At 44.5% G+C, this 17950-nt stretch overlaps 1 protein-coding gene, 1 long non-coding RNA gene and 1 other non-coding gene across 4 annotated transcripts, besides 4 other annotated features; 2 read left to right on the forward strand and 1 right to left on the reverse strand.

The window, feature by feature from the left end:
* Positions 1-1539: 1539 nt before the first annotated feature.
* EIF5-DT (EIF5 divergent transcript) lies at positions 1540-4528 on the reverse strand. The gene has a single exon (NR_158216.2). It is a non-coding gene; the product is annotated as an EIF5 divergent transcript (long non-coding RNA).
* Positions 3561-3680: an enhancer, noted in NCBI's record as "active region_9101". NCBI's record gives its function as "activates an Ori minimal core promoter by ATAC-STARR-seq in GM12878 lymphoblastoid cells {active_cell/tissue: GM12878}" and the evidence as "EXISTENCE:reporter gene assay evidence [ECO:0000049][PMID:35858748]".
* Positions 4001-4420: a silencer, noted in NCBI's record as "silent region_6148". NCBI's record gives its function as "represses an Ori minimal core promoter by ATAC-STARR-seq in GM12878 lymphoblastoid cells {active_cell/tissue: GM12878}" and the evidence as "EXISTENCE:reporter gene assay evidence [ECO:0000049][PMID:35858748]".
* Positions 4105-14893, forward strand: EIF5 (eukaryotic translation initiation factor 5). 2 transcript variants are annotated; one of them, NM_001969.5, is made up of 12 exons: positions 4105-4128; positions 4257-4465; positions 5521-5800; positions 5904-5985; positions 6545-6717; positions 6984-7095; positions 8195-8340; positions 8603-8761; positions 9040-9201; positions 9507-9671; positions 10295-10429; positions 10831-14893. In NM_001969.5, the coding sequence occupies exons 3-12, from the start codon at positions 5729-5731 to the stop codon at positions 10918-10920; spliced, it is 1296 nt and encodes a 431-aa protein (NP_001960.2). In that variant the 5' UTR covers positions 4105-4128; positions 4257-4465; positions 5521-5728; the 3' UTR covers positions 10921-14893. The 2 variants fall into 2 exon arrangements, with proteins under 2 accessions (NP_001960.2, NP_892116.2); NM_183004.5 differs by lacking the exons at positions 4105-4128; positions 4257-4465 and adding an exon at positions 4756-5053.
* Positions 4561-4610: a silencer, noted in NCBI's record as "silent region_6149". NCBI's record gives its function as "represses an Ori minimal core promoter by ATAC-STARR-seq in GM12878 lymphoblastoid cells {active_cell/tissue: GM12878}" and the evidence as "EXISTENCE:reporter gene assay evidence [ECO:0000049][PMID:35858748]".
* Positions 4721-4960: a silencer, noted in NCBI's record as "silent region_6150". NCBI's record gives its function as "represses an Ori minimal core promoter by ATAC-STARR-seq in GM12878 lymphoblastoid cells {active_cell/tissue: GM12878}" and the evidence as "EXISTENCE:reporter gene assay evidence [ECO:0000049][PMID:35858748]".
* On the forward strand, positions 7717-7842 carry SNORA28 (small nucleolar RNA, H/ACA box 28). The gene has a single exon (NR_002964.1). It is a non-coding gene; the product is annotated as a small nucleolar RNA, H/ACA box 28 (small nucleolar RNA).
* Positions 14894-17950: the final 3057 nt, after the last annotated feature.

The raw sequence follows: 17950 nt of genomic DNA on the forward strand, positions 1-17950 counted from the left end.
GGGAAAATTGCTTAACCTTCCTGAGTCTCTTTCCTCACCTGTAAAATGGGTATAACAACATCTCCTTACATGATTATTAAAGAATGGGATTACATATGTAAAATGCCTAGTTTTGTTTGTTTTTGTATTTATCTGGAGAGGCCATGCCACATAATTTTTAAGGGAACAGGCTTTGGGATCAGACAGAGCTGTCTTTAAATCCTAGCTCTGCCACTTACTAGGTACATGATTTGGGTAAGTTGCTTAATTTTTTTCCACTAAGCCTTGGTTCGCTCATTTGTAAAATGGAAATACGAATTCCTCATAGGGCCTGGGAAATAAGATAATGTATTCCAAGAACTTAGAAAACTCCTAGGATATGATAAGCATTTAACAAATGGTATGATTAAGAGTAATTTTTAGGTGCCAATATCCAGAATAAACAAGGAACTCAAACAACTCAGTGACAAAAAATAAATAAATCTGATTTTTAAATAGACAAACGATCTCAATAGATATTTCTCCAAGAAAGACATACAAGTGGCCAACACATGTATGAAAAAATGCTCAATGTCACTAATCAACAGGGAAACGCAAATCAAAACCACAAAGACAAAAAATAGCAAATGCTGGCAAGGGTGCAGAGAAAAGGGAACTCTGATGCACTGTGGGTGGGAAGGTAAATTAGTACAGCCATTAGGGAAAACAGCATGGAGGTTTCTCAAAAAACTAAAAATAGATCTTCCATATGATCCAGCAATCCCACTACTAGGTATTTATCCAAAGGAAATCAAATCAATATTATCAAAGAGATATCTGCACCCCCATGTTTATTGCAGCGCCAGTCACAATAGCAAAAGATATGGAATCAACTTAAGCGTCCACCAACAAATGAATGGACAGGCTGGTTGCAGTGGCTCATGCCTGTAATCCCAGCACTTCAGGATGCCGAGGTGGGAGGACTGCTTGAGGCCAGGAGTTCGAGACCAGCCTAGGCAACATAGTGAGCCCCCCCCCCACCCCTCCCGCGCCATCTTATTATTTAAAAAAAAAAAAAAAGGATAAAGAAAATGTGTTATAGGCTGGGCGTGGTGGCTCACGCCTGTACTCCCAGGACTTTGGGAGGCCAAGGCAGGTGGATCACACAGGAGTTCAAGACAGACCAGCCTGTCCAATACAGTGAAACCCTGTCTCTACTAAAAAAAAAAAAAAAAAATTAGCCGGGCTTGATGGCACGCACCTGTTGTCCCAGCCACTTGGGAGGCTGAGGCAGGAGAATCGCCTGAACCTGGGAGCCGGAGGTTGCAGTGAACTGAGATCAGACCACTTGCACTCCAGCCTGGGTGATACAGTGAGACTCCGTCTCAAAAAAAAAAAGTTTTACATATACTGGAACACTATTCAGTCATAAAAAAATAATGAAATCCTTTTATCTGAAGCAACATGGCTGAGACTGGAGGACAGTATCATATTAAGTGAAATAAGTCAGGCACAGAAAGATAAATACCACATATTCTCATTCATATGTGGGAGCTAAAAAAAAATTCGAGTTCATGGAAGTAGAGACTTGAATTGTGGTTTATTAGAAGCTGGGAAGGCTAGTGGGAGGAGAGGAGAGGGAGAGGTTGATACAAAATTGCAGCTCAATAAGTTCTAGTGCTCTGTAGTATTTCAAGGTAAATATACTTAACAACAATCTATTGTATATTTTCAAAAAGCTAGAAGAGAGAATTCTGAATGTTCCCAACACAAAGAAATGATAAACATCTGAGGTGATGGATATGCTGATTACTGTGCTTTGATCATTACACGTTGTATACATGTACTGAAATATCACTTTGTATCCCACAAATGTGTTATTATGTATTAACTAAAAATAAAAGGGAGAAAAAGAACACAAAAGTATTTTTTTAAGTTGTCCATGGTTGCATACAAATGAGTGGTACACATATTAAAAAGCAGTTAAAATTATTACAAACTTCAACGAAATTAAAAATTGTGCCACTAAACATACAAAAAAGCTAATTACTTCGTGTTTCATTAAAACTTTTCTGAAAAGGCAGGCCTCTCACCTCAGACTAGTTTCATGCCTATACTTTCCAACAGAGTTTCTAAAATAACATCATTTTTGTGCTGCCAAGCAAAAAGTCAGATCTGTTTCAATACTGCTAAGTCATGCTCCACAGTGAAACAGCAGCAGCATGTCTGGGATCCCCTTTTCTAGTTTGTCTGATGGGAACCCTGGTACTCACAAGGCACTGTGCACTTGGCTTAACAACTATACACCAAGGTACACACTGCGGGATTATAAAAGTCCCTGCCCTAAAGGACACAAATCACCTCTCAATTCTGGATTGTGCCTTTATTTCTTCCTACCAACACTGCCAATTTTTAAGTTGTTTATAAAGCTTTTAGTTATGGAAGCACGATCTTGGATTTTGATATAAAAATCAACATAGCTGCCAATTCTAACCTCAGTGCAAATGCAACTGGTCCAAAACAAAGGGCAGCCCCTTATCTACCTCATCCTGTCCTCAGCAACATTTCTCTTTTCCAGATCGGGAAACCTGCACGGCCGCTCAGGACTTCTCGATGACTGCACCTTAGAGACCAGAGTGCAGGTTAGCGGGGCTCTCGCTCCATCAGTCAAGTGAGGTCTTCAAACTTCAGGGTGAACTATGGATGTGTTTTTAAGACTCAAGTTTTCACAAAAAAAATCCAAGTTTCAGAAAGAATGGGAGAGTTTCAACAGAACTAAAATATGAGAGCCTCTCTCTAAATAATAAAAATTTTCTTTTTTTTTTTTTTTGGAGACAGTCTCGCTCTGTTGTCCAGGCTGGAGTGCAGTGGTGTGATCTCGGCTCACTGTAACCTGTGCCTCCCGGGTTCAAGGATTCTCCTGCCTCAGCCTCCCGAGTAGCTGGGATTACAAGCGAGCCACCACGCCCAGCTAATTTTTTGTATTTTTAGTAGAGACAGGGTTCCACCATATTGGCCAGGCTGGTCTCAAATTCCCGACCTCAGGTGATCCGCCCACCTCAGCCTCCCAAAGTGCTGGGATTACAGACGTGAGCCACCGCGACCGGCCTAAATAATAGTAATTTTCAACGGAATACATTGGAATCTCATTATAAATGCCTGCTCTGGGCTACGATTTGCTTATCAAAGAATTCACAAGTCATAAACTAGAGGGGGTGGACTCGACGTGATGCCCACTAGGAGAAAGGTGACAAGAGAAGCACGAAGGATAGCGCTTTTCAACCCTGGGAGAGCAGGGAGGCCTTCACCAGAAGGTGGGAACCCACCACGAAGCGCCTTCAGGAGGCCCCAGGATTCCAAACCAATTAAGGGCCTCCTCTTCCGAAAACGGGAGGCGACGCGCTGAGCTAAGCGCGCAGGCTGGGTTGCGGGCCGACACCGAGGCGGCGCGGCCTCGCGACCGCCCTGGGCGGTCACTGGCGAGTCACGGACTCGTTCCGCCAGCGGCCAATCCACCCCGAGTCCGAAACAGAAGACGTCCCTGGGATGAAAGACCCAGGCCTGGGGCTTAAGGTGGAAAAACAACTCATTCCTCGAGGCCCGGAGTCGGGCGTCCCGGGAGAACGGGAAAGGGAGATGAGCGCCCGCTGCGGGGAGAACGCGGTCGGGTTCCTCTCCCCGAAGGTGGCAGCCGCAAAAACACGGCCTCGAAAGCAGTTTCGAGGACGATGGCTCCTGCGTCCCGGGAGTCGCCATGACGCCGCGGCCTGTCCCAGACCCGGCGAGGGAGGGGACCAACCACCATCTCCCCCTCAAGGCCCAAACCGACAAAGAACGGCCCCCGGTACCCCGGCCCCGCCACCAGGGCCACTCCGGGTCTCGCGAGACCCAAGGGCTGCGCCGCGAAGACCTCTGGGAAAGGCGGGGGGAGGGGAGAGGAAGGAAGCGAGACCGGGGCTGGAGGCGGGCCGAGGCCGCGAGTTGAGCCTCAGGAAGCAGAAGGGGCGCGGAAAGATGCGATTGACGTCGCAAGCGAACCAATGACGAGCGAGCTGTGGCAGGCCTCCAGCCAATGGGCAGTGAGGCCTGACGCGGGGGGCGGACGCTGGGGCCGAGGGTAGCTTGAGCGCGGCGGCGGCGTTGTTCAGTCAGAGCGAGAACATTCCAGAGGTGAGTCCGGTGAAGGGGCGGCCCCCTGCCCGGTGCTTCCCGCCCCCTCGACCCCTCGGGCCGCTGGCTGGCGGGGAAGGTGCACTCCCCGACCGCCCACGGCTCACGGCGCCGTCTCTCCGCGCCAGGTCGCCCAGCTCCGGCGCTGACGGGTGTGGACCGCGGACGTCGCTGGGACAGCCCCTCCCCGCTGCTCGGCGGCGGCACCTGGCCCGGCCGCTCCTCGCTGCGCTTCGCCTCCGCCTCCTCGGACTCGGACTCGGGTTTATATCGCGCCTCACTTCATCCCAGTCCCGGGCGAGCAGCGTTGGGTTTATGTCTTTATTTGACGAAAACGGTGAGTCGCGGGCGCGGCGGGCCAGGAGATGGCGGCCGCACAAGATGGCGGCGGCCGCCGCGTGACCCCGCCGCGGCGTGTGGCGCAGTTTGGGCGGACGGCGGGCGGGCGCGGGCCCGGGCGCCGGCCGCCCCCTCCCCGCGCGCTCCCCGGCCCGGCCTCGCCCCCTCCCCGGCATGGCGGGAGCGCGTCGCGCGTGCCCGCCGCTCGGGCTGACTCAGGCTTCAGCTGCTGCATTTGTGAGTCATCGCGCGCTCTGGGGCGGGGGCGGCCCGATCCCGGCACCCCTCGGCCGTGTGTCGCTTCCCGGCTGTGCACCCTCCGGGGCCGCCGGCTCTCGGGGGACGCGCTGGGGATGGGGCCAGACGCCCCGGTCGCGCGCCCCCCTCCTTCGCGGAGCTGCCCGGTTCGCCAGCCCCCGCGGAAACGCCTCGGAGCGCGGTAGCCATGGGGACCAGGGCGAAGGTTAACCGAGTATTTGAATAGCGAGGAAAAGGGAGGCCGGGGCGAGCCTGGCGTTCGCTCGCGCTCTCTTGCTTAATGGCAAATTGTGGGCGAGCGCTGCGTTTAAGGAAGTGCTGCTTTGAAGTAAGCCATGGTTGCCGAAGCAACGATTAGTTGTAGAGAACAGTTCCCTAGGTTGCCCTTAAAAATGAAGACGAACGGGGGTGTGCCTGAGAAGTTTGCTTATCCAGGCGGGGTGGGCGGCGGAGAGGGCTCGGGTTCGTTCTTCAGCACTTCCAGGATGGCCGCAGAGGCAAACCTGCTGATTGCCCTCGGTCTGATGGAATCTCACGGCGGCTGAGGCAGCACAGCTTGTGTTTTCTTGTCAGGCATTTCCCTACCAGTCACAGCTTAGTCGAAATGGAGGCCTTTTTATGTTCCCGCAGATTGTACTGTGTTACATGAGAATGGCTGTTTGCATGTGATCTCAGATGCTTTTTAAGGTGGAGTTAAGCAGAAGCATAACTAGGATGTAAAAAGGAGGCGTTTCCATCCAGCGATGATGTTAAACCTGGGGGGATTTTTGTGTGTTCTTTCCCTTTTTCTTTCAGAGCTGTTGCGCAGCCATTGGTACCTGTATTGGGGAAACATAGCATACAAGCAAGAAGCTTACAGCCTCAGTGGCGAAAATTTTTTCATGTCAGAGACCGAGAACTCTTGCAGTCGTTTATGTCATCCCTTCTTCTCCAGACAGAAGATACCAAAAAGTTGCAATCAAAGATCTCTTCATCTTATTGATAAAGCCACTAATAAGCCAAAATGTCTGTCAATGTCAACCGCAGCGTGTCAGACCAGTTCTATCGCTACAAGATGCCCCGTCTGATTGCCAAGGTAATAAACTGCTCTTCAATTTAGTTGATAGCTCTTTTTGTAGAATTTTGAAGTTTGCATTTGTCAGGGGAAACTGCACAACTAAAATTCTTATTTCCTTTAGGTTGAGGGCAAAGGCAATGGAATCAAGACAGTTATAGTCAACATGGTTGACGTTGCAAAGGCGCTTAATCGGCCTCCAACGTGTAAGTAAAGCTTGGAAAAGTCCACAGGGCATATTATGGATAGAGTCTTCAAAGTCTTTGAGCTGCAAAACTTGTTCTAATTGTATGCTAGCTAATTACCTTACAAGTTAAGTGAGGAACCGTGGTTTATTGGTTGCCATGAGTTTACAAAACTACCAGGGGAACGCATTTAAAGAGTGGATGGCTGGGCGCGTTGGCTCACACCTGTAACCCCCAGCACTTTGGAAGGCTGAGGCAAGCGGATCGCGAGGTCAGGAGTTCTAGACCAGCCTAGCCAACATAGTGAAATCCTGAGTCTACTACTAATACAAAAATTAGCCAGGCGTGGTGGCATGCGCTTGTAGTCCCAGCTACTTGGGAGGCTGAAGGGGGAGAATCGCTTGAACCCCGGAAACGGAGGTTGCAGTGAGCTGAGACCACGCCGTTGCACTCCAGCCTGGGTGACAGAGTGAGACTCTTGTCTCAAAAAAAAAAAAAAAGTGGTGTTCGTACAAATGTGAGTGAGTAGCCAGAGATCTAGTTAACTGTAACGATCCAAACTCCTTTTTCATTCAAATAGATCCCACCAAATATTTTGGTTGTGAGCTGGGAGCACAGACCCAGTTTGATGTTAAGAATGACCGTTACATTGTCAATGGATCTCATGAGGCGAATAAGCTGCAAGACATGTTGGATGGATTCATTAAAAAATTTGTTCTCTGTCCTGAATGTGAGAATCCTGAAACAGATTTGGTAAGTGCTTTTGTGGTTGTCGAAAGAAAAAGCCATATACCTGCTTCTGTGATACCGCTAAGTCACCTTCCTGAGAAGGCAGAGCAAATGTAATTTTAAATCAAACACAAAACTCCAGTTTTCGAGATATTTCCATTCTTTTTTTTAAAGTAGGTCACTGTGTGAAAAAAGTTTTCTTTGCATGTGAAGCTGTCTGTGGTTTAGATGTCCTCTGATTAGATATTTTCATGTTATATTATGGATAACATTTGTTATTTTTTTGGCAGCATGTCAATCCAAAGAAGCAAACAATAGGTAATTCTTGTAAAGCCTGTGGCTATCGAGGCATGCTTGACACACATCATAAACTCTGCACATTCATTCTCAAAAACCCACCTGGTGAGTCTTCCATGATGAACTCCTAAGATCCTAAGATAAGTTACTAACTGTTGGGAACAAAATAGAAGGTTTTTTTGTAATAGGAATGTAAGGGAGACTGGGCACGGTGGCTCATGCTTGTATTCCCCGCATTTTGGGAGGCCAGGGCGGGCACATCACTTGAGGCCAGGAGTTCAAGACCAGCCTGGCCAACATAGTGAAACCCGTCTACTAAAAACACAAAAACTAGCTTAGCATGGTGGTGTGCTCCTGTAATCCCAGCTACTCCGGTAGCTGAGGCATGAGCGTCGCTTGAACCTTGGAGGCAGAGGTTGCACTGAGCTGAGATCGTGCCACTGCACTCCAGCTTGGGCAACAGCGACTCTGTCTCAAAAAAACAATATAAGGAACCTTTTAGTCCTTGTACTATATTTTATCAAATCTAAGACATCTTTCAAAAGTGTATTGTTAATTACCATTAAAGGTGAAAAATAGGCTGCCAATTAAACTGTGCCATATCAATTAAGACATTATCTGAGGGTAGATGAAGTAATGACTAAAATTCTGCTGGAAACCCAGCAAAGTTTCTTTTACTGGCATTGTTTGGTAAAGAGGGCCCCCTTCATTAAACTTGAATATTGCAAGCAACACTCTGTGGCAGATGATCAAAACTGTCTGACACAATTTGAGCTTGCTATAGCAAGAAAGTCTAACCTATTCCGGTGTTCTCTCTCCCATGAGACAAGCCGTTATATAGACTTAAACAGTGTTCCACCTGTTGGCTAAAGCTGGGTTGAGTTAATGACTTTGTTCATGAGGGATGACAGGGATCCTTAGGGCCACCTCTCCCTAGTGGAGGCATCATCACTTCATCTTACTCTTTCTTAGCAGTTACAATACCCCTAATATTTTGTGTCACTCCATTCTTAGACTAACATTCTTACGTATGAAATACATGATGAATTTGATCTGTGAAGCCTCTTAGGTAGCATTGTGTGTGCTGTGTGGTTTTTCTGAGGGGATCCATAGGAAAATAAGGGCAGGGTTTTAAACGTTAATGATGGGCAATGAGGTAATGTAAGTTATGGGGTTAAATTTTTATTTCCCTTTTTTTCTGTAGAGAATAGTGACAGTGGTACAGGAAAGAAAGAAAAAGAAAAGAAAAACAGAAAGGGCAAAGACAAGGAAAATGGCTCCGTATCCAGCAGTGAGACACCACCACCACCACCACCACCAAATGAAATTAATCCTCCTCCACATACAATGGTGAGTGCAGGGTTGATGGCCTAGTGGGCACTAAAGTTGTGTAAAGTATATGGCATTTGGTTGAGGTGGGTGGAAATGTTGAAACTAGCCTTCAGTGTGTAATACACTAATATTGTGGATTCCAAGTACTGTTTGTTGTTTGAATTAAGGTGAACCCAATTTTGGATGGAGATGGACTTGATGCCATTAACTTGGCAAAATCTGAACCTTTTTGTTGTTGTTTTTAAGGCCTTTGATCAAGTAGCTCTGTTTTCATAAACAGGAAGAAGAGGAGGATGATGACTGGGGAGAAGATACAACTGAGGAAGCTCAAAGGCGTCGAATGGATGAAATCAGTGACCATGCAAAAGTTCTGACACTCAGTGATGATTTGGAAAGAACAATTGAGGAGAGGGTCAATATCCTCTTTGATTTTGTTAAGGTAAAACATTTGCTTGGTCTGTAAATCAGCTTCAACCCAGCCTTGTTTGTGCCTTTAGATATATGATACTTTAGCAGTGTAATTAGGATTACTCTAATGCACGACTTTTTAGAACTCTTGTTCATTTAAATATTTTTTGCGCGTGATTCCAGGCACTATGTGTCACAACTGCCAAATTAGGCAGGAAAAATATGTTCATCAGAGCAGGGACTGGCTGGTGTCTTGAGCCTGGCAAAGTGTGCCTCCATTGCACTGAATTGTTTTCCTTTTCTTTGCAGAAAAAGAAAGAAGAGGGTGTTATTGATTCATCTGACAAAGAAATCGTTGCTGAAGCAGAAAGACTGGATGTAAAAGCCATGGGCCCTCTTGTTCTAACTGAAGTTCTTTTTAATGAGAAGATTAGAGAACAGATTAAGAAATACAGGCGCCATTTCCTACGAGTAAGCAAAGTGCTCTGGATTCATAAATGAGATTACAGTTGTGTGGCTTTCGAGATGGTCATATTAACCACTTTTGCTTGTCCTGTCATGCTTGAAAGTGGGGAAATTGACCCACCTTACAAGCCTCTGAGTATCTGAAAGTGCCATACCTAGGCCCTTACAAAGTAACAGGGATGTTTATGCATTGACCTTTTTGAACAACTATGGTATGGGCCATGCACTTGCAGACACTCTTATTTGGGTAATAGAGTTGTCAACTTAGAACACATAAAAAAGATTGTTAACACCAAGGTGTCTATTTGCAGTTTTGTCACAACAACAAAAAAGCCCAACGGTACCTTCTTCATGGTTTGGAGTGTGTGGTAGCAATGCATCAAGCTCAGCTTATCTCCAAGATTCCACATATCTTGAAGGAGATGTACGATGCAGACCTTTTAGAAGAAGAGGTCATCATCAGCTGGTCGGAAAAGGTGGGGAATACATAGGTGGGCTCTTAAAGTTCACAGGTTTTGGGGGGTTTTTTTGTTTGGTTGATTGTTTTTGGAGACGGAGTCTCATTCTGTTGTCCAGGCAGGAGTACAGTGGTATGATCTCAGCTCCCTGAAACCTCCACGTCCCGGCTTCAAGTGATTCTCCTGCCTCAGCCTCCCAAGTAGCTGGGATTACAGGCACCTGCGATCATGCCCAGCTAATTTTTGTATTTTTAGTAGATGGGGTTTTACCATGTTGGCCAGGTTGGTCTCGAACACCTGACCTCAGGTGATCCACTGGCCTCCCAAAGTGCTGAGGTTACAGGTGTGAGCTCCTGCGCCCAGCCGTTCACAAGTATTGAGACGGCTTTGAGATGAAGAAAAAATGTCTTAATATCTATAGCTAAAGTTCAGTGCCTGTGCTGTAGATTGTGATTCGCATCATGTCAGATTTGTAGTCATAACAGACTGCTGAGACTAACGTGTTCACTGAGTACATTGATTCTGTTTGAGGATTCAGACTTGTTAGGACCCAGTCCCCTCAGCTCAGTAAGGGGGATTGTATAAATAATCAAAAGTTGTTAAAATTCCTCAACTAAGAGACTTGTACTCACATTTTTTAGGCCTCTAAGAAATATGTCTCCAAAGAACTTGCCAAAGAGATTCGTGTCAAAGCAGAACCATTTATAAAATGGTTGAAGGAGGCAGAGGAAGAATCTTCTGGTGGCGAAGAAGAAGATGAAGATGAGAACATTGAGGTAAACATTGGGGGAGGAGGGTATTGGATACAGTGCTGGCATGGGTGTTTGAGATTTAAAAAGGTTTGTGAGGAGTGATATAATGGCAGTTTGGGGTAATTTCAGGTTTAGAATTTAAGATGCAGTAAAATACAGCCTCTCAATAATTTGGAAAATAATAGAAAGGGTGATGGAAACTGTGTTCCTACTCCTACACATTATAGTCTATAAAAAAACTTTAAAAATGCTCTTAGACTGGAGCCTGTGTAAGAGAACTTGCAGTGTTTGCATAACAGAGCTGTTCCGTGAAGAAGAAATAGCTGCATCTAGGCAGTTTCCTCCTCTGTGACCACAATTTACATTGATTTGTTTTATAAACAGATTTATCAGCTTATGTTGAATAAAATCATTCCTCTTAACAGGTGGTGTATTCGAAGGCTGCCAGTGTACCGAAAGTTGAGACTGTAAAGTCAGACAACAAGGATGACGACATCGATATTGATGCCATTTAAAGGGATGGATGCAACCTAGCTTAACAGTATAATGCTGCAAATTTTCCTCCATTATCAGCCAGAAGTGCAACATGTATGTGCAAAAGCTAAAATGGCTTAACATCATGCTACACTTTACACTAAAAATCTATTACTGTGAGTGGTCTGTTATTAAGCCCAATGAGACATCTAGGGAGTCCATACACATCAGTGAGCAGATGTAGTTTGCTTATTTATAGCATGTTTCTTTTTGAAAAACTAGTGGTGGACACATTTGGATCACATTTATACAGTTATAAAAATAAAGGTTTGATTTTGGTCGTTCTTCAGATGTTTGGCTCTGAATGACTTAAGCTGAAGTAACTGGCTCCTTACTTTAAATGTTCTGCCATCATTTCACCTGATGAGCATTCTTGGAGCCTGCCAGATATTGTTAGGTCCTGGGGCTGCAAAGAGGTCCTCAACAGGATGTAAAGCAAACTTAATTGTAATTAATTTATTCAGCCCATTAAGAAAGTACTAAAGTTTTATCTCTGTAGTTCCTCAAATTGGCATCTGGTAATGTACATTGTGAGGTAGACTGATAATGAAATGACAGTGTAACATCTTAACCAAGAAGTAAATATGACCTCAGTGTCCTATAAATAATGTAAGAGCAGGATTTGAAACTTGGAGAGCTGTTTTCTCATTTCATGTACACTTGCCCCAAATTGTCTTTGAAGTCGTGTGCATTGCACGTTGGATGAGCCAGGGAAATTATTACATTAACAAGCATTTTGTGTGTACGTAGTAGTTACTTTGTACTGAGAGAACTTGCTTTGGGGTGCAATTAATAAACTGATTTTATTTGGGAGAAACAAGGAAGGGTGCACTTAACTAGCAACCTAAGCATGATTTTTCAGCTTTTGCCCTTAGGGTTTAAATTACAATTCCAAAATGTTAGACATACTGTATTTTTTCGTTCAGTGTGGCTTTAATTTTCCCCTCTTGCAGTTTGTTCTGTAATGCCTTTTACATTTGGACACATAGTTTATGCTTTTTAGATTTTGGTTGCTTTCTTGCCAAAATAAGTGTTAACTGTGTTTCAAACTTGATTTTCTTTCCTTTTTCTTTTTTTTTTCTTCCAGAATGTCTTATTTAAAAAGAAAGCTAAAAGCATACTTCTAAGTCAGAGCCTCTATTTTGGTGTAAGACTTGGGATATTTTTTACTTCACATTGAATATAGCCAGGCACCCAAGAAGTCTGATGGCCACCTGAGTGCAGGTGACAAGGACCTGACAGAGCCCATGCAGGGCTTTAGATTTGGACACACAAGAGTTGATAACTTCCTCATGAACTCCTTGCCTGATCTAAACTCATATTATGGGTTCTGACTGTTTGAGTAATCATCTTCAAGGTTAAACCTCTTGGCAGTTACCCTTTTCACAAAGTGCACAGTGGGAATCGAGAATCGATAGGGTTAATTTTGGAGCAGTGGCTTATACCATTCACCTCTGTTTTTTTGTGATTATTTCACAGATAATGAGACCTTAATAACAAATAGGCGTAAAAAAATTTTCACATTGAAATGATAGAAACATTTGATGTAATAAAACTTGGTTGGCTTGATATTTTAAGGAATTGAAACCTAGCAATCTTATTGGAGAGACAAGAATTGGTCTCCAGCTGCCTTTGATCAAGATTCGGGTGCAAGTGGAGCAGGAGCCATATACCTGGAGGGAATGTGCTTTGTCACACCAAAGAGGATTTTTTTTTCTTCAAACTTGTATGTTGCCTAGGTTTCAAATTCTTTGCCGCAAGGCTGATCTGCTTTCATTAACTGGAATTCTGTAGGAGATACTGGTGACCTAAGCTAAGTTGCACTCAGCATACTCAGTGTCAAGCTAATGAGGTTCTATTATAAAGGTTCTACTTTTAATCTGAGGGAAAACATGTTCAGGGCTTCTAGAACACTAAAAAATTTGGCTTAAACCAGTGTTCAGTCTGGTGCCAAACTTCGAATGGAATACAAATTCACATAATCTGAACTTTGTTCACAGGTTATCCTAATAGAGTAATTCTTCACTTTGCTCTATTGAACTGTCTTAAGGATTTGTTTAAACAGCTAAGTTACTTGATTAAAATAATGATAAAATTGTATTTTGTCTTTGCTTTAATATTAAAGTTAACAAGTTTTCATTTTATAATGAGATCAAAGCATTGGAATCTGCCCTGTTTTGTAGCCGTTGCTTTGGATTTGTGTTGGATGTATCCTGCAGTTACACTTGCCAGCCCCACTCACAAAAGTTGTTCATTTCATTGGGTCACTGGCTTTATTTGCTAGTCTTGTCTGTGAACTGAGCATCTGCCTCAGTTTTATTACTTGAAATCTTGGCAGGTGCTTAATAGGGAACATACATACAGCTATGTAACTGTGAATAATTGTATATATCTCTAGTTAAGAATGAGGGAATGGGGAGGTTTGCTTTCTAAACAAGTGCATTCTGAAATTGACTTAAAAATTTTTAGTGTGGGTCCTAAAGTTTAGAGATGGGCAAGGAGGTCTCTAATCCACCGCTTCCCGCTTGAGAAGGGAGGGGTATCAAAATTGAGCCCCAAGCTGTTTGTTCCAGTGTACCAAGCACTGACTTTATGCCTTTGGCCTGGAGATGGCAGAAGTGAAAGCTGGCCATCTGCAAAAAGCAGATAAGTGAGTTTGAACCTTTTGCATTTTGTTAGCTCAGTCAGTCCTCATCGTGGTCCTGAGGCATAGGTACTGTTGTACCAAGGTCACTTATCTAACAAAATAACCCTTCATGTATTTTAAATTTATTTGACAAGTCTGCAGACAATCCTTATCTAACCAGCTATTTTCTTAATTGCTACAGCTTGACCTACCAGTATTCCGGAGTAACCAGCAAATGCAAAGTTGACCTTGTTCCTGCATCATCTTTTTGATGGTTCAAATTTCAGCCTCCCTGACTACTACAAAGCCAGAGCAGTCTTAGTACCAGAAACAGTGTTGCACTTTCGTTGCATGTGCTGTGTGACCCCAAGGGGACAGGGAGTCACTTTGGTCATCTCTGTCCCCAGTACAGATCTTGATTCATAGTGACATTCCATAAGTGGGGTGACAGCAAATGACTTGCAGGTAGTCTCATTGTAGGTTTGTGCACCAGAGTGACCCTGTGAGCCTTTGTTAATAGGTTGGGAGCTCAGGGTGTTTATGTCCACCTGTCTGGTCTAGCCAAACAGTTTTTTTCTGGGAATCAAATTTCTGTGGTTTTTATGGCCAGAAATTTTAAGGACTTGTGTGTGCTGGGATATGAGAATAGAAGCTACAGAGTTCTTTTCTTGGGACCTAGACTGGGAGGTGCAATGTCAGGACCTCCAGGTGAATGGTAGGATCTGAGTTGACCCTGCAGTTCGGTTATGCAGTCAATTATTTCTTTTTAAGAGGAGGAGGATTCACTTGGGTGTTGGGATCAAATTTGGATTCTGTCCCAGGCCTTACTGTAAAACTAGGGGATTGCCTTTCCATATCTGCTGGGGGTGGAGACCCTTATGTGCAGCACTCAATCCCACTGGAAGCCTAATGCTGCAGTCAGAAGCAATGCCTGGCTGGGGCAGTAGGGGAAATTCCACCCAATTTTGCTATGAGCCTAAAACCTCTTTAAAAACGGTCAGTTAACTAAAAAATAAAAATCAAGTCTTTAGGAGAGTAGAAAACACAATTAACTAAAAAGCAGGGACATCTGAAAGAGACGTATTAAGTTAACATTTTTAAAAATCCAAATGAAAGTAAATGGAATAAATGTATCAGGTAAAGGACAAGTTGTAAGCTTGGATTTTTAGGTCTAGCAATACACTGTTTACAAGAGCATCACCTAAAATGTGACAAAAGATGTTGAAAGGATGAAAAAAGGTATAGTAGACATACACTAACCAAAAATGTAGCTCTTTGAATCTCAGAAAAAAGTAGATTTTAATAAAGTGTGAAAGTTGTCAATCAAAGCGGAGTCACTTGTGTTCAAGAAACAAAAAAACAACCCGAACAAATAGAGTAGGGTTTGCAGTCTTGCGATGGTGAAGGGTCTCATGCTGGTATGCCCAATAACGAAATTATCACAAAAGATTGCAAAAACCACAGCCTTGCACAAAAAGCATCACAGCCTTATGCAAAAAATACTTCAAGGACATCTACCCAGCAACAGCCTGTCCAGCTGTGGACTTGCATCGCCCTTGTTATGGATCTTTGTAGCCACAGGTGGTAATCTCAAAACAGTTATGTAATCTTCATTTATCCTTTAAAAACCATTCTCGGCCACGCGTGGTGGCTCACGCCTGTAATAACAGCACTTTGGGAGGCCGAGGAGGGTGGATCACCTGAGGTTGGGAGTTTGAGACCAGCCTGACCAATGTGGCGAAACCTCATCTCTACTAAAAATACAAAAACTTAGCCAGGTGGGGTGGTGCATGCCTGTAATCCCAGCTACTCGGCTGAGGCAGGAGAATCGCTTGAACCTGGGAGGTGGATGTTGCAGTGAGCCGAGATCGTGCTACTGTGCTCCAGCCTGGGCGACAGAGTGAGACTCCATCTCAAAAAAAAAAAAAAAATTCTCTCCCTTTACCTCCCTAAAGTACACACACAGCTCACAATGACGTGTATTCCCATTGCAATGCCCTATTCCTGAATACATATCTTTCTTTTAGAGAGCTCGTCTCTCTCATTTAATTGACATAAATGGGGTCAGAAATGGGACCTAAAGAAAGATGACTATCAGAAAAAAATACTCTTTTTTGGCCAGTATGCATGAGCCCTTTGCGCTGTAGGCTTCCATGGCTCAAATTTTTGTCCCTGGTGAGTCTTCTCTCAGGCCAGCCCTCCCTGTTTTTGGTGGAGGCTTTGTTTTTCTTTTCTTTTTTCTTTTTTTCCTTTTTTTTTTTTTTGAGACGGAGTCTTGCTCTGTAGCCCAGGCTGGAGTGCAGTGGCGCAATCCCGGCTCACTGCAAGCTCCGTCTCCTGGATTCACCCCGTTCTCCTGCCTCAGCCTCCAGAGTAGCTGGGACGACAGGCGCACGCTGCCACATCCGGCTAATTTTTTGTATTTTTAGTAGACACGGGGTTTCACCATGTTAGCCAGGATGGTCTCGATCTCCTGACCTCGTGATCTGCCCGCCTTGGCCTCCCAAAGTGGTGGGATTACAGGCGTGAGCCACTGTGCCTGGCCTATTTTTTTTTCTTTTCTTTTTTTTTTTTTTTTGGTAGAGGCTTTTTGATATTCAAGATCAGGTTTGGTTATAAGGCCACCTTAATAAAGAACCTTACATCCCTCCTGAGATGATAAAAGACTGACTTTTCTGGTAAGTCCTTTCTGGTATAAAGACAGAGGTCTCTAGCTTGAGTATTCTGGTTTCTATTGAATTCACATTCTATCTGTGAGGCATGTCATTTCTGGTGAATTCACTTTTGGTCTGAGCGTGTAATTTGATCTGCATGCCTGGGTTAAAATTTTGTGAACACTCATCTCTTGGTGTCCTGTGATTTGGTTTCACTCGTTTCCCTGGGTTTTTTTCTAAACACCTTCCACGTTTTAAATAGTGGGCTCAGGATGTCTAATTAAAAGCCACTAGGGCAGTTGCCACCATCTAAAACACCAATCCAAACTCCTGACATTCTCTCACAGGATAAAAAAGATATTCTGGTCGGGCACAGTGGCTCACGCCTGTAATCCCAACACTTTGGGAGGCTGAGGTAGGAGGATCACTTGAGACCAGGAGTTTGAGACCAGCCTGGGCAACAAAGTGATACCCTGTCTCTACAAAAAAAACTGAAAAATTTAGCCAGGCACAGTGGCCTGCACCTGTAGTCCCAGCTACTCAAGAGGCTAAGGTAGGAGGATCCCTTGAGCCCAAGAGTTCAAGGTTGCAGAGAGCTATGATCGTACCACCGCAGTCCAGCCTGGGTGTCAGAGCAAGACCCTGTCTCAAAAAAAGAAATTTTACAGAAGTACAACTCCTAACAGAATAATGCTGGCCTGGCGCTTTGAAATGATTGCAAAAAAACTATGGAACAGACAAAATTGAACTCAATAATGGACTCTAAGTAGACTTAGCTGACAGCCACTCCCTTCGAACCTCCCTCGTTGTTCACAGGTGGCTAGAAGGTTTTGACACTGGCTCCTAGTCCCCAATCACTCCCTGCAGTGTGGGACAAGACTGGCAGCCAGGACAGATCCACCCTGGTATCAAGGGACAATCAAGACCCAGCCACAGGATGACTGACCAGCGATGCTTTCAGAGAGAGATGCTGACCAGAGGCGGAAACGTGAAGGCTGTCAGAATGAGAATGGAGTCATTTGTATTTTAAAAGGCAAACACCAAACAAAAAAAAACCCTGAGAAATAGAGCCAGGTGAGGCTGTGAAGAGAGCATTCTCATGCTTGTTTGTCCTATCACGACTGTCAACGATCACAAAAGACTGCAAAAACCACAACCTGCACAAAGGCCGTCACAACCTTCCACAAATAATACTTCTACAAGGACATCTACCCAGCAACTGCCTGTCCAACCTTGGACCGGCGTCGGCCTTGTTATTGACCTTCATGGCCAAGGCTGATTATCTCAAAACAATTATGTAATCCTCCTCACTTTTCCTTTAAAAGCTATTCTCTCCCTTTACCTTCCTAAAGTACACACATAGCTCACTATGACATGCATATTCCCATTGCAATGCCCTGTTCGCAGATACCTTTTTCTTTGAGAGAGCCTCTCTCTGTTTATTTTGTTGACAAACCAAGAAAAGTCATTAGGAATAAAGAGGATCAGCACAATGTGATGAACAATTCAACACATCAGAAATAAAAGTTCTGACTGGGCACGGTGGCTCACGCCTGTAATCTAAGCACTTTGGGAGGCCAAGGCGGGTGGGTCACCTGAGGTCAGGAGTTCGAGACCAGCCTGGCCACTACTAAAAAATACAAAAATTAGCCAGGCGTGGAGGTGAGTGCCTGTAATCCCAGCTACTCAGTAGGCTGAGGCAGGAGAATTGCTTGAACCCCAGGAAGCAGA

The sequence above is a fragment of the Homo sapiens genome, chromosome 14 (assembly GCF_000001405.40).
Source record: "Homo sapiens chromosome 14, GRCh38.p14 Primary Assembly".
Taxonomy (NCBI): domain Eukaryota; kingdom Metazoa; phylum Chordata; class Mammalia; order Primates; family Hominidae; genus Homo; species Homo sapiens.